Source organism: Homo sapiens, chromosome 9, assembly GCF_000001405.40.
Source record: "Homo sapiens chromosome 9, GRCh38.p14 Primary Assembly".
NCBI lineage: Eukaryota > Metazoa > Chordata > Mammalia > Primates > Hominidae > Homo > Homo sapiens.
The window spans coordinates 86,507,290-86,521,866 of record NC_000009.12 but is presented as its reverse complement, the minus strand read 5'-3'; the positions used below and the strand labels follow the sequence as shown (position 1 = coordinate 86,521,866).

Below are 14,577 nucleotides of genomic sequence, written 5' to 3'. Positions count from 1 at the left end.
TCACCACTGTAAATATACTTATTTGGTCTTGAAACCCACTGTGAAACAGTGGAACAGTAAGTTTTGCAAAGGTAGGAACCAGGACTTGAGGAGAGGTTACCTCCTTATGCTGGAATGTCTTGTTTACAGGAGAAAACCAAACCTGGTCTGTTCTAGGATCTATGTGTTTCCTTAAAGTCTTGGTTTGATTATGTCACATTCAGCATGAGTAACTCCATTTTGGTTTGGTTTGGTCTGCTGGGGCCTAGTGCATGAGCTCAGTCCAAAGCAATGGCCTTCCGTAATTTTGTTCAAAAAAAAAATTCCCCCTTTTTGGTCAGGTTCTCACTTAGGTGAGAGTGTGACTAAAACTTAGGGCCTGGGCACCACTCTCAGTTACCATCATTTGGGGTTTCCGATCTCAGCATGTCATTCACAGATTAAAGTGTCCTCGTGGTCATACATTTCTTTCAGCTCTTGTCATTCCAGTTGAAGAGAGATCATTTGGCATTCAGAGATGGCTGTGTGCAAACATTTAAAATATTTAAGAGAACACAGCGCACCAGGGAGACTTCTATTATGACTATCGGGAGGATAATACCAAGAGTTTGAAGTATGATTCTTACCCAGGGTCCCCACAAACCAAACCACCTAAAATCAAATAGATCAAAGAATAAGTTAGATAAACAGACTACTTGCTTAACTAAGCAGTCTTTTCATTAATCCCCTACAACTGAATCCCTATAATACCTGATGTATTTCTCCATAGGACATAAGTGCCAGCAGCTGCACAGAACCTTTTCTGTTTAGCCAATTCTATTATTTAGCATAACTTTCATAAGAGAATGTAAAGTCCGTTGTGTAACCATAGCCTTTACAGTAGAATCTGCTATAGAGCCTATCACGAGGGATATATTTCTAATCATTGCCTCTTTTATTCCAAACCGTGGAAAAAAGACCTAACAAATGCTGGCCTTCTAAAAGATTGAATACCCTGTCTCTACTAAAAATACAAAAATTAGCCAGGCATGGTGGCGGGTGCCTCTAATCCCAGCTACTTGGGAGGCTGAGGCAGAGAATCACTTGAACCCAGGAGGCGGAGGCTGCAGTGAGCCAAGATCGAGCCACTGCACTCCAGCCTGGGCAACAGAGTGAGACTCCATCTCAAAAAAAAAAAAAAAGATTGAATGCCTCCTGGCAATGTTCTCTTTAACTCATGATGTGAGTTAAGAGGAGTGAATTGATGTTCTGTTTCTGACTGATTATGAGGCAACATATGTACCATTAAAGTTTCTCACCTTCATTAGGCCTTCATCTTTTATCTATCAAAGTATGAGTTTATCCCTGTATAAGGCTGGCTGCAAAATCTTTCACAAAAACATATAGCCCATAAGTTCACACAACAGACCCTCTTTTCATTTCTATTATTCATAGAGGCATAAACAAGGAAAAAATATTCGAAGATAAGAGTCTCATAATAGTAGAGATGTCTTGATCCATGATCTTGGGAAAAGCTGTTCACATCAAGGATGCCATCTTCTTCTGGGGAAAAACTTTCCTGATTAGCTTTTCCTTAAGAGTTCTAAGATTGTGAGGGATCCTTCTCAGTTGTGACATTATGAACCCAAAGTTCAAGTTTCCCAAGTTTTGTTGCAGTGTGGATGGCAAGGGCAGTCTTTCTCTGATGTTCTCAGAAGATCCAGTCTTCGAGTTCTAGATTGTGAAGAGGTTGACTGTCCTCAGTGAACCTTAAAAAGCTTTCTTTACCTGGGGAAAATACACTGTACCATAATAATCTACTGTTACAACAACAGCCCTCTTGCATGGGAGAGCTTTTATACAACCAGAAAACATGCATTGAAAATGACAATTAGGCTGGTCGCGGTGGCTCAAGCCTGTAATCCCAGCATTCTGGGAGGCCGAGGTGGGTGGATCACAAGGTCAGGAGATCAAGACCATCCTGGCTAACACGGTGAAACCCCGTCCCCACTAAAAATACAAAAAATTAGCCGGGCATAGTGGCGGGCACCTGTAGTCCCAGCTACTCAGGAGGCTGAGGCAGGAGAATGGCATGAACCCGGGAGGCAGATCTTGCAGTGAGCCGAGATCGTGCCACTGCACTCCAGCCTGGGAGACAGCGAGATTCCGTCTCAAAAAAAAAAAAAGAAAAAAGAAACTGACGATCCCTTTATAAATCTTTAAACGGCCCATCAGGTAACCAAATGTACCTGAAGCTTTGATTGTTTTCCCAGAAATATGGATTTGACAAATCAAACATTGGTTATAAACAATTCTAGCAATTTATAAGTCACCACACCAATATATTTAATTTGGATCATTTTATCTTTTCCATGATGAGTCATGGAAATTTTAATAACAAAAGCTTTATGGACTCAGGAAGGACAAGGCAGCTGTTCTGGTTCTCCATGAGTTCATGCTTAATTAACATTAGACCTATATCCTCTTGAATACCAGTTGTTTCTCCAAATTAGGTGCATAGCTCTGATAACTAAGGGGTTAGCATAGGTAATTTGATTTAGACCATGGAGTTCATTCAAGTTGTATATCTAAATAATTTTAGTTTTGGGTGACTTAGCATAAAAATCTGGCAAAATATTTCCTTGGTATTCAAGGAATTTTTTGTTCTATTTGGGTTAGCAGTTTTATAAACCAGTCAGTGTTTTCATTAAAGTTTTGGGAATTGTTACCCAGTCCAATTCTTGTGGAACTGGGGAATTCATGGGGGAATTATTACCCATGATATGATGTTAAAATAATTAGAAACCTGTATTCAAGAGAGCTTTTCAGGGTCCTTTCCATCCTTTCATGAACCTCCTAGAAGACACCATATTCTAGGATTTCTGCGTGCTTGTGAAGTTTTCAGAAACTGCATCAGCATTAAGCAATTAACTGTGGAAATGACTTTAAATAGTTATAGTTGGTGGGGTGCAGTGGCTCACGCCTGTTATCCCAGCACTTTGAGAGGCCGAGGTGGGTGGATCACCTGAGGTCAGGAGTTTGAGACCAGCCTGGCCAACATGGCAAACACTATCGCTACTAAAAATACAAAAATTAGCCAGGCCTGGTGGCAGGTGCCTATAATCCCAGCTACTCAGGAGGCTGAGGCAAGAGAATTGCTTGAACCTGGGAGGCGGAAGTTGCAGTGAGTCAAGATCATGCCACTGCACTTCAGCCTGGGCGACAGAGCGAGACTCCATCTCAAAAAAAAAAAAAAATAGTTATAGTTAAAGACACAATTGACAAGGGAATTTGGTTATTTCTGTGGTCCACAATAACTTAACATAATAACCATAATTATGATTGATTATGAGCATATACTCAGACATAGTAGAATTTTAGAAATCCCATATATTTTTGGAACATACTGATGACATACACTAAAATATAACCTGAAGAAGGTTAAATATTATCTTTTATTTTGACAATCCTTCCCAAGTAACTTAACAAGTCAAATAGCCCTGTTTACCTCTTTTGGATGCTTCAGGGGCCTTCTGTAGCCCCCCAAAGTTACAGGCCAGCAAAGATAATTTTGAAGCTGAAATTTGATTTGGGGAAGCCTATCAGATATGTCAAATGTTTTTCAATTATTATTTTATTTTGTTTTATTTTAAGTTCCAGGGTACATGTGCAGGATGTGCAGGTTTGTTACATAGGTAAACACGTGCCATGGTGATTTGCTGCACCTATCAACCTATCACCTAGATATTAAGCTCAGCATGCATTAGCTATTTTTCCAGCGCTCTCCCTCCTGCCACCTCTCTGTCTAGATAAATTCTTAAAACCTCCAGAAAGTTTCTAGCATAAACATATCTGGCTTATTTTCTCAGGTTTTTTTTTCATATTTTATTAATTTACTTATGAATATTTCCACCCTGTTCCTAAAAGAATTTGAGAATGTATTAAATTTATTTAAAGAATTTTTTTATTTTTTTATTTTTGTATTTATTAAAAGAATTTATTAAAATGTGTATAGATACTTCTATAAGATTAAAATAAATGAAAAAATTAAACAGTAGGGAAATATGTAAAGTAAAATAAATAAAGTCAGAAATAGTGTTACTACAGGAAAAAATGTTATGTTATAACATCTTGGTGTCTCCATAGCTTTGTATGTCTCAACATCTCTGCAAACAGGGAAACACAATAGTTCCAAGCTTCACAGTCCTCATAAAATCAAAGCAAACCAATTTTTTACAAGAGCACCAGGAGGACACAATGGGGAAACGACAGTCTTTTCAATAAATAGTGCTGGGAAAACTGGATTTTTATATACAAAAGAATGAAATTGGACTATTATCTGATAACATATACAAAAATAAACTCAAAATGGATAAAAGACCAAAATATAAGACCAGAAACTATAAAACCCCCAGAAGAGAACATTAGGGAAAAGTGCCTGGACATTGACCTTGGCAATGATTTGTTGGGTATCACATCAAAAGCTCAGGCCACAAAAACAAAAATAAATAAATGGGACTCCATCAAACTAAAAAGCTTCTTCGCAGCAGAAGAAACAATACACAAAATAGAAAGGCAGCCTAAAGATAGGGAAAACGTATTTGAAAATCATATATCTGATAAGGGGTTAATATACAAAATGTATAAAGTACTTATAAAACTCAATAGTAGAAAAACAAAAACAAATTAAAAAATGGGCAAAAATCTGAACAGTTATGTCTCCCAAGAAGACATAAAAATGACCAAAAGGTACATGAAAAGGTGCTCAACATCATTAATCACCAGGGAATTACAAACCAAAGCCACTGTGAGATACTACCCCATGCCCATTAGGATGGCTATGATCAGAGTCAAAAGATAACAAACGCTTGTGAAGGCAAGAGAAAAAGAGAACTTTGATACGCTGTTGGTGAGAATGTACAGCGCTACAGCCATTATGGAAAACAGTATAAAGGTTACTAATTAATTAAAAAGAGGAAATGATGCAGGCTTTTTCTCAGCCCCTTCTTTGGACTCGTGACAGGGGCAAACGTTTACTCAGCCCACCACGCTCAGCCCCTTGCGTGAGGGAGCATGTGAACGAGCGAGTGCAGGACCCAGCCGGCCGCTCTGGGAGTCGACACAGGAGAAGGCTTCATGCACAGCCAGACCAGGCATGAGCCAGCGAGTGCGGGACCCGGCCGGCTGCTCCAGGCGCCGCACATGGGCAGACTAGGTACAGGTGAGCAACTACAGGACCTTTTTGGCCGCTCAGGGCCCCAGGAGGAGCAAGCTCTGTTTACTCGGCCTGAGGTGGCACCCTGTTGGGGATGCCTGCGACCCCGAAGCCCCAAAGGCTGTGTTACAATGCTCTCTTGGCTCCACTGTCCATGAACAGTAGTGTGTTATCAGCTCAATTGGCCCCTTGCCTCGTCGCCTGGGTCCCAAGCTCTTGTCCAGCATCCAAGAAGAATGAGGTTGTGCGGACACTTGACGGATGGTGAAGGCAGAGAATTTTATTTAGCAATGGAAATGGCTCTCAGCAGAGAGGGGAGCTGGAGAGGGGACAGGACAGAATAGAAAATGGGAAGATGTAGATCAGAAAATACAAAGTAGCAGAGGTATAGGATGAACAAGTACAGAGATCAAATGTACAACATGGGGACTATAGGTAATCAAATTGTACTGAATATGGAAAAAATTAAATAAGTGAGAAAATCACACAAAAGGTAACCGAGGAGGAAAATAAATCAGATCAGAAATAGTGTTAGGAGAAAAAAAATGTATGTTTTACCACCTTGGTGTCTCCATAGCTTTAAATATCTCTGAAAATAGGGAAACACAACTGTTCCAGACTCCACTGTGCCCATAAAATCAAAGCAAACTAATTTATTTAGGAAGAGCCCAGTTAATTGAGGTTGGTGATTCCTGAGAGTAACAAGGTTCTCAAGAAATTGATACAAAAATGAGTTTTATAGAGCAGTATCTCCTGGGTTATGGAAAATAGAGGAAAAAAAAGATTTTGTTCTGTACCTTTTAGTATGGGATCTTTTTCAAAGAGCAGAACAGACATGAATGTACCTACTTCATAGTCATAGTGTGCAATTTAGATGGCTACAATCATAAAGAATGCCTAAGACAAAACAGTTTTTGCTAACCCACTATCGCCAGCACCGAGCATAGTACCTGACACATAGTAAACATTCAAAAAAGTATTTTATAGCAGTGTTAAAACATGATGAACTTGGACTTCATGTAGCCGTTCTGAAACTGTTTTCCATGATGCTTTTAATCAGTGACAAACTGGACTGCCAAGTGAAAAAATACACAAAAGAAGCTTGGAATTTCTTTCAAAATATACTCCCTTTCTCTACTCGCTCTGGGAGTTGGGAGGTGGGTGCAAAATCATTAAAAGATAAGTTTTCTGGCATGAAACCAGAAACAGTTGAAAAGGTGCTATTGTACAGCTGTCAGCTCAAGGAACTGTGCTGCAGAACTAATAAGAAAGATATGGGAAACCCGTGATTTAATCAGCTGCGGACTCATTACTCAACGGTACCTGCAGGGAGAAGCATCCATCAGGGTGTCAGGTATATGTTGCATAAAGAGAGGGGAGATTTAGCAACTGGGCAAAAGTTAAAGGTGGGAGCTGTCATTTACCCACATACTTCTCACTGGTAGAAACTTCATGCTGGACCACTTCACCTCCCTTGAAAATAAAGAAGTAGTTCCACCAGGGCCACCCAAAGCATTTCACGGAGGACTGACTTATACTGCCTATATACTCTCTTTTCACCCTCTGGCCACAAAACTCATTGTATAACAGTCAGATGCCTTACACTCCAAGAAACTGATTTTACATTCACCTATTAATGTAGCAGCCCTTCCAAACTGGAGGGCAGGGAACACATGTCCATGGCTGCCTGACAGAGACCTTCAATGCAAAGGTGGGTGCATGAGAATGAGGGGGTCACTGATGGAGAAAGGAAACTAGAAGCATCTCAAAGCAGCCACCCTCCAATACTAACCAATCCTTACTGCCATCTCTAGGACACAAACAAGGTAGGAAGGATGAAAAGAAAGGTGAAATCACTAAACTGGCTTCTGGTAGTATGTTCTTGACCTTGTAAAGTAGTGGACTGAAATAGCATAAAAATGGAGCTCCTTGCATCTAATTGGTGAAACCAGGCTGTATGCCCTCATGTGCCCTCTGCCTGGAAAGAACACACCCATACCATCAGGGCAGGCTGCACACCAAGCAACCCTGGGCTTCCTTTTTCATTTTTGATACTTCCCGTTCTTTCCTTCCCAGCTAGGTTGCAAGTCTGTGCTATGTCTCTCTTTTGCATCTCCATTATCATGGAAGAGTCTTGAATAAGCTAAAGATGATTCAGAAATTATTAGTCCTTTCTGAGCAGTTAATTGAACATGTCGGACCACACCATAGAGACCAACCAAAACAGGAATTTACCCTCTTTTTAAAGACATCCAAAGAACAAAATTCTACATATTTTATTCTCTAATCCAATCCAAAATCTTGCATAGAAAAATCAAACTTACAAAATTTTATCACACAAGGAGAGGGATATGCAAGGGGGAAACTAAATATTGGCAAAGAATGTAATAAAAAGTCTGGGCACGATGGCTCACGCCTGTAATCCCAGCACTTTGGGAGGCCGAGGCAGGTGGATCACGAGGTCAGGGGTTCAAGACCAGCCTGGCCAACATGATGAAACCCCGTCTCTACTAAAAATACCAAAATTAGCCAAGTGTGGTAGTGCACACCTGTAATCCCAGCTGCTCAGGAGGCTGAGGCAGGAGAATTGCTTGAAACCTGGAGGCGGAGGTTGCACTGAGCCAAGATCGTGCCACTGCACTCCAGCCTGGGCAACAGAGCAAGACTCCATCTCAAAAAAAAAAAAAAAGGAATGTAATAAAAATTGACACCCCTTTCCCCAAGAAATCAAGGCTTAGGTTGGTCTCCCTTTACAGATAGAGCCAGCTACAAACTATGGAGCTCAAAGAGGAATGAAATACCAGGGGCAGAGCTGCGACTGGCATGGGAAAGTCAGTTGGGTAGGCCCAAGGCTCTTGCTACTAAATAACTCCCTGTCCCTTCTACCTGAAACCTCAGATCATTTATCTTGCCAGGCCACTGGTGTCTTTCCTACAAAACAATGTACAGACACCCCAGGAAAGTTCCCTTCTGCCAACATTATCTCTTGCTAGACATAAACACCTACTTTCAAAGCTTGAAATTTATTAGCACCCAAATGATGTTTATTACCCTGCAGCTTGTGATCCTGTCATGGATTGTATCAGCCAAGGAGACTGGATTAACTCACATACCTAGGCATTTATGGCTCTGAAGTGAGCCAGTGTTCAAAAAGCGTCCTGAGGACAGATGGAGTTGCTTGACCCACAGGTGGATGAGCTTCGCTGGAGCAGGAAGGCCCTGGTCCTGGCTGAAAGAACACCTAAGACCAAGGAGAGAATGCAAAATGATGAAGCAGGAGCCTGCACCACAACCAGCAGCCAATCAGAGAGGAAAAGGAACCAAATGCTGGGCAATCAAATGCAAGAAAAAAAGCAGTGAGATTTTTCATTGAAATAAAAATGCAAAAAAAAAAACAAAAAATCAGTGTCACTGGAATTTATTTCTAAAGGAACTTTCTGAGTAATCTATGTACAAATATAAGAGGAATTAATTTTTTAAATTGTGAGGTTTAAAAAGCATCTTTTAATACTAGAGATGTGTACGTTTTTGTAAAGCAATTTCAACATCTGCAGACGTAACCAGAACACTTCAAGAGAAAATGAAAATTTAAATAAACACTGAAGGTTATTCAGTGGGTTAGGAATTCAGGGAAAGAGAAAGAAGCAGAGAGCCCAGTGAAATTTATCTAAATTCTAAAACTCCCAAAATGTAGGTGGGAAAAAATACCAATCATTGTATTCTTTTGTTATTTTCTGTGGTAGTTCTTATTTTTTGTTAACTATTATTTGTTGTTATAAGGAAAATACAATGTGACAGTGGCAAACAAGGCATTTATACGATAAGCTCTGGCCTTTGTCTTTGGGTGCTATCTCTGAAACAGGAATAACTATGCTGGGTGTCTGTTGGAAGGCAGTTTGAAAGGGAGACTTCTAGATTTGTCTCCCTAAGTGATGTGTGTGTCCAAGTCCCGTCATCATGGTCCTTCCATTAGTTTGCCCATTTGTGGTCCCCACTGCTGTAGATTATAGGCAGTTGGTTTCAGGTTATTTATTAATTCTAGAGCTATAATAAAGCACTGTTTTCTAAAAATAAAAAATAAAAAAATAAAAAATCTACTTTCTCTCTGATTGCTATCCTTCCCAACACTTACCCTCTCCCCAGCTGCTAGCAAATGAATAAATTATATTTATTAATGAGTTTCTCTTTGCACTTTCTTTTACATAGTTTTTCACCTTCAGAAATTCCAGCAATATTAACAACTATTATATCTGAATGTTCTAGGATTTGGACAAAGATTGAGGTAGGTTCCATTATCCATTTCTTGGCTCAGCGTAATCCCAATTGCCAGATGCCAGTCTATATATTCCTTTCTGGTAGTCATGCAATATTCTCAGCTCTCTGCTTTGCATTTTAAAGTGACATCCTGGAAGAAATTAACCACCAGGTGGGTGATGAGAGAAAAACCTTTGTTTTAGTTTGAAATCTGGATTCAGCCAAGTCTTTGGAAAAGTCAAATCTGATGATTATCTAAATAGCTAAGGGGAAAGGATACTCATCGCCTTTATAATCTGGGTAATTGGTATGATTACCAGCAGGTTCTTGAATGTCCACGGGGTGCATATCCATATGGAAAGACAGACTCAGCCTTGGCGCTTAGACTCCTAATGAGAATGCCTGCAGTGGAGTCTGAATTACCTCCCCTCTGACCCTAATTCTCTACCTTTCTCTCCTAGTGGAGACCTGGCCCTGGGCTTTCTGGTACAGAGCTGTTCTCTGCAGGGCAGTGGTAGAGACCCTGGGAAGGAGAGGAAGGCCACCCAGGGCTGGGGTGTGAGCGAGCTGGGGAAGCAGGCCCCTCTGCTGTGGAACTCCAGAAGCAACAGCGGGGCGCCTGCGGCAAAGCACTTAACCTATTTGTGTCTCCATCTCCCATTTGTAAATGGAGTAATTATAACCTCTCTGCCTTCTGGGGCTCTTGCGAATCTCCATTAAAGTTCATAAATCACTTTGAAGATGGGAGTCATTGCTGGTTGCCCTGGCAGGTGGAAGATCTCTGGCCAGAGTCCTCCTTCAGTATTTCCAGGCAGCTGGCTTTGTCTTAAAGGAGATACAAGTAACATTCTTTCTGCTCCCTTTTTCTACCTGCACTGAATATCCACAGCGAAACATATTCACCCTTTTTCCTAAATGTCTGTGTTCCCAATGCTACATGTTTTCATAACAACTCGGAAAGTATTAGTAATTTTGGATACAATTAACGAAATTAACATCTTTGTAAAAATCCCACCAAGGCTGTGGAACTATCACCAATAGTTATTTCCATGTATCAATATATGCCCATGCTATGTCCGGGTATATTTCTATGAATTCAGAAACGGATGAATCTTGAACACTATCTTTTAGTGAGCCTAACATCTAAATCAATTAACCTTTAAAAAGATAAAATAGCCACATATTTTTAAGTTGCACATCCATACATATTTATACACACAGATGTGAAGCAAACTCTTAGGTTATATTCTTACTTTTCTTTTTTTTTTTTTTTTTTTTTTTTTTGAGATGAAGTTTCACTCTTGTCACCCCAGCTGGAGTGCAATTGCACGATATTGGCTCACTGCAGCCTCTGCCTCCCGGGTTCTAGCGATTCTCCTGCCTCAGCCTCCCAAGTAGCTGGGATTACAGGCACCTGCCACCACGCGCAGCCAATTTTTCTATTTTTAGTAGAAACGGGGTTTCGCCATGTTGGCCAGGCTGGTCTCAAACTCCTGACCTCAGGTGATCCATCCGCCGCTGCCTTCCAAAGTGCTGGGATTACAGGTGTGAGCCACTGTGCCTGGACCTTATGTATTTTTTTAATCCAGAATTTTTACTTTTTGTTTAAAAGCTTTTTAAAATTGACACATAATATGTTGATAAATATGTGCATATTCATGGAGTACATAGCAGTGTTATGATATGTGTAATGTAGGGATCAGATCAGAATAATTCACATATCCATCATCTCAAACTTTTATCATTTCTTTGTGTTGGGAACATTCAAAATCCTCCTAGCTATTTGGAACTATATCATATTTTACTGTTAACCATAGTCACCCTACAGAGCTGAGGAACACCAGAACCTATCCCTCCTGTCTAGCTATAAGTTTGTATCCTTTTAAAAACCCACTGGAGTATTAAAAATGTCTCACAAGAACCACATTTTTAGGGATGCATTAGCTTACTTTGGCTGCTTTTTAAAAGATTCAAACACATGAAGTTTTTTAAAAATAAACTTCTCTAGAAACCATTTTGACTTAAATGACTATCAGTAGGGAGCTAGTTACATAAATTGTGGTACACCCAGGGCATATGAGTGAGCGTATGTACAGTCACACACACGCATGCACACAGAATGCAATTCTAGATATATTTTAAATTTTTTTAGACAGTGTCGAATAGAACTTACGATAGTTTAATATTTATGTTTTAAAAAGAGATACATATTATACATGATAAAAATGAAAGAATACTACAAATTTGTATATGTAATAAAAGAGGTATTTTATATATGTATGTGTAATATAGTATATACACAAACTATCTCTGGAAAAAACTAGTAACAGTAGTTTCTTCCAGAAAGATATACTAGGAAAATTAGACTAATGGTTGTAGGCAAAAATCTAAGAATTAATGTATATTTTCTTTGGGGTTGTTTAATATTTTTTATTAAAAGAATGCATCACTGTTCTAATTTTTAAAATTTGTGTCACTCTAGTATGTGTTGTTATGTGATTGGCATCCTATAGTATTTTAATTTTTTTTTTTTTTTTTTTTTTTTTGAGACAGAGTCTTGCTCTGTCGCCCAGGCTGGAGTGCAATGGCGTGATCTTGGCTCACTGCAGCCTCTGCCTCCCAGGTTCCAGGGATTCTCTTGCCTCAGCCTCCCAGGTAGCTGGGATTATAGGCGCACACCACCACGCCCGGCTAATTTTTGTATTTTTAGTAGAGACAGGGTTTCACCATGTTGGCCAGGCTGGTCTCAAACTCCTGACCTCAGGTGATCCGCCTGCCGCGGCCTCCCAAAGTGCTGGAATTACAGGCATGAGCCACTGCCCCTGGCCAGTATTTGATCTTTAAAACATAGATGTTTTACAGTGTATACTGTTAAGGAAAATGCCAACTACTAGAAAGTAAACTGGTGTCATTGTATTTTTAAATTGCCTGCCTACTACAGGATGAATAGATTGCAAAATAACACCCAAAATGTGTTCAAGTGAGTTACAAAACTTGCTTTGGCACAAAAAGATACAGACACCCATTGGTGAATAGGTAATATATGTGTCCCCTGTTGTAATGAGAGTACACTTAGGGAATTACTTTATACGCCTTCCCTGGAATTAGTCTCCTGGTGGATAAGAAAAAGGCCTTATTCATCTAATTCCCCCCAAAATTCTAGCTCAATACCTGGCAAATATTAATAGAAGGTGTTCAAAAAATATTTATCAAATAAATAAATTAGATTCACAGCTTGATTTCTTGTCTTTTATAACCAGTTTCTTTGATGTTGAACTTTTTAAAACCTTTAATAAATAATTGCACATCATAAATTGGATGAGGTAAATATAATACACAGCATTTGCCAAACTTGTTTCACCATGAAAAGAAAAACACTTTCCCCACAGAGTCCCTTGCAAGACTAGTTGTAATGAAGCCTAGATAAATAAAAGTGGAAAACATAGCGCTGGCTTTTAATTTACACCTCTCTGTCTCCTAAAAACCAAGGGCAGCAGAGGCCATTAGTGCTCACTGAATATTCCTGGGCTCCCTGCATTTCCCATACTTCTTTATTTTGGGGTCTGGGGCACATGACTGTATCTGGCAAACAGGAATATGAGAGGAATTGATGTACCATTTCCATTGCAAGGCCCTTGGGAGCCAGTGTGTCTCCTTCATCTTTCTTATCTCTTGCTAGAACCACTCTGAAAGTCAAGTGTGGAGATGATGGCCTCACAAGTTAAAGGGAATCCCCAACCACTAGATATGGAAACCCCCTGTCAATTCACATGAGAGTCTGTAGTGAGCAAAGAATATATATTTTGTTGTGCTAAGCCGCCGAGATTTTAGAGTTATTTGTTATGACAACATAATTTAGCCTAACCTGACTAAGCATAGCAATTCATTGTCATGGCATATCCTCATACGACAATTATATAGTGAATGCCTACTACGTGTCAGACGTGATCTTTGAGGTACCTTCTAAAAGTATATTTATAAAGTATGAAAAGAGAAATAAAATATGTACAAGGAAAGTGAAGGGATGAACAGCCTGTCACTCAAATCCTGTAACTTGATGCTTTTCATCTTTGCAAGTCTAGTAATTTCAGAAGAATTTGTCAAATTTTTACATATAAAAATGCAAATTTCCCCCAAATTAACTAGTGTTTTACTGTGTCTGAATTACTCTGTACTTTCCTAAAGACTCATCGCTTTTTCTGTAAGATTAGGAAGAGGTAGGTCCAGAAACATTTCTGTTCTCCTGTTATATCTATACAGGATTCTTAGATTTTTTTTAAAAAAAACTACAAATCCAAAGGGATGAGCTGCAACTGGCCTAATATTTATCAGAAGTTACCACCAGACCTTTTTAGTCAATGCTCTTGTGCCTTTGCCATGGTTAGGCAGTATCTATGTGAATTTTCTGGATTAGGGCTACTTAGTAGATCAGAGCCCTTAACAGAGCTATACTCTCTAATGGAAGAAATAGTCTCAAGATGAAATTCGATTACAGCGATGCACTTTGATTCAATATCTATAACTTCCTTGTGATATGGTAAATTAGGGGGGAAGAAAAATGCTGAGAGATGTAAAGGCAGAACGTACAGGAGGCCTGTTAGTTCCCTGTTCCATTTTGAGTGGTGGAAAGTCAGGATAACGGGAGCTCCTCTGTGTTCCACCTCTAAATCCTAAGGATCTCTTTTTAAAGATCAGCAGGATTTACACAATCACAGTGATCCAAATGCAGCTGGAATTCCAGCACAGGCAGCCAGAGAAATACCAAGTGGTAGGAAAACAAAATCTTTCATTAATTTTCTGTCAAATGCTCTAATCAGTTGCATAACTGTTTGATCAAATACCCACAGCCACTTAATGCTGTGTGTGTCCTTCCCTTCCTCTCGGTCCTCCTCCCTCTAAAGCAGAAAGTATTTGTTAAAGGGTTGTTTTGGGAAGGTTGTTCCCAGGTCTCTGTGTACTGGCCAGGGTTTAACCTCGAGTTTATAGAACTCCTGGGACCCTTCATGGAAGCTACAATGACAGTCCAATTTGAAATCTGGTGGGCTGGACAAGAACACAAACCCTGTCTAGATCCTTGATCAGCCAGGCCCTGCCTTTGAAAGATAAGCCCCTTGAAGAAAGAGGTCAGCATCAGAACGAGCTGTTGCAGC

General features: G+C 39.8%; 1 long non-coding RNA gene across 1 annotated transcript in view, besides 1 other annotated feature; it reads right to left on the bottom strand.

Moving 5' to 3' along the window:
- The window catches only part of LOC102724080 (uncharacterized), a 117,440-nt gene that overhangs the window by 9,414 nt on the left and 93,449 nt on the right, over nt 1-14,577 (bottom strand). The window lies entirely within an intron of this gene.
- Nucleotides 13,102-13,271: an enhancer, noted in NCBI's record as "active region_28517". NCBI's record gives its function as "activates an Ori minimal core promoter by ATAC-STARR-seq in GM12878 lymphoblastoid cells {active_cell/tissue: GM12878}" and the evidence as "EXISTENCE:reporter gene assay evidence [ECO:0000049][PMID:35858748]".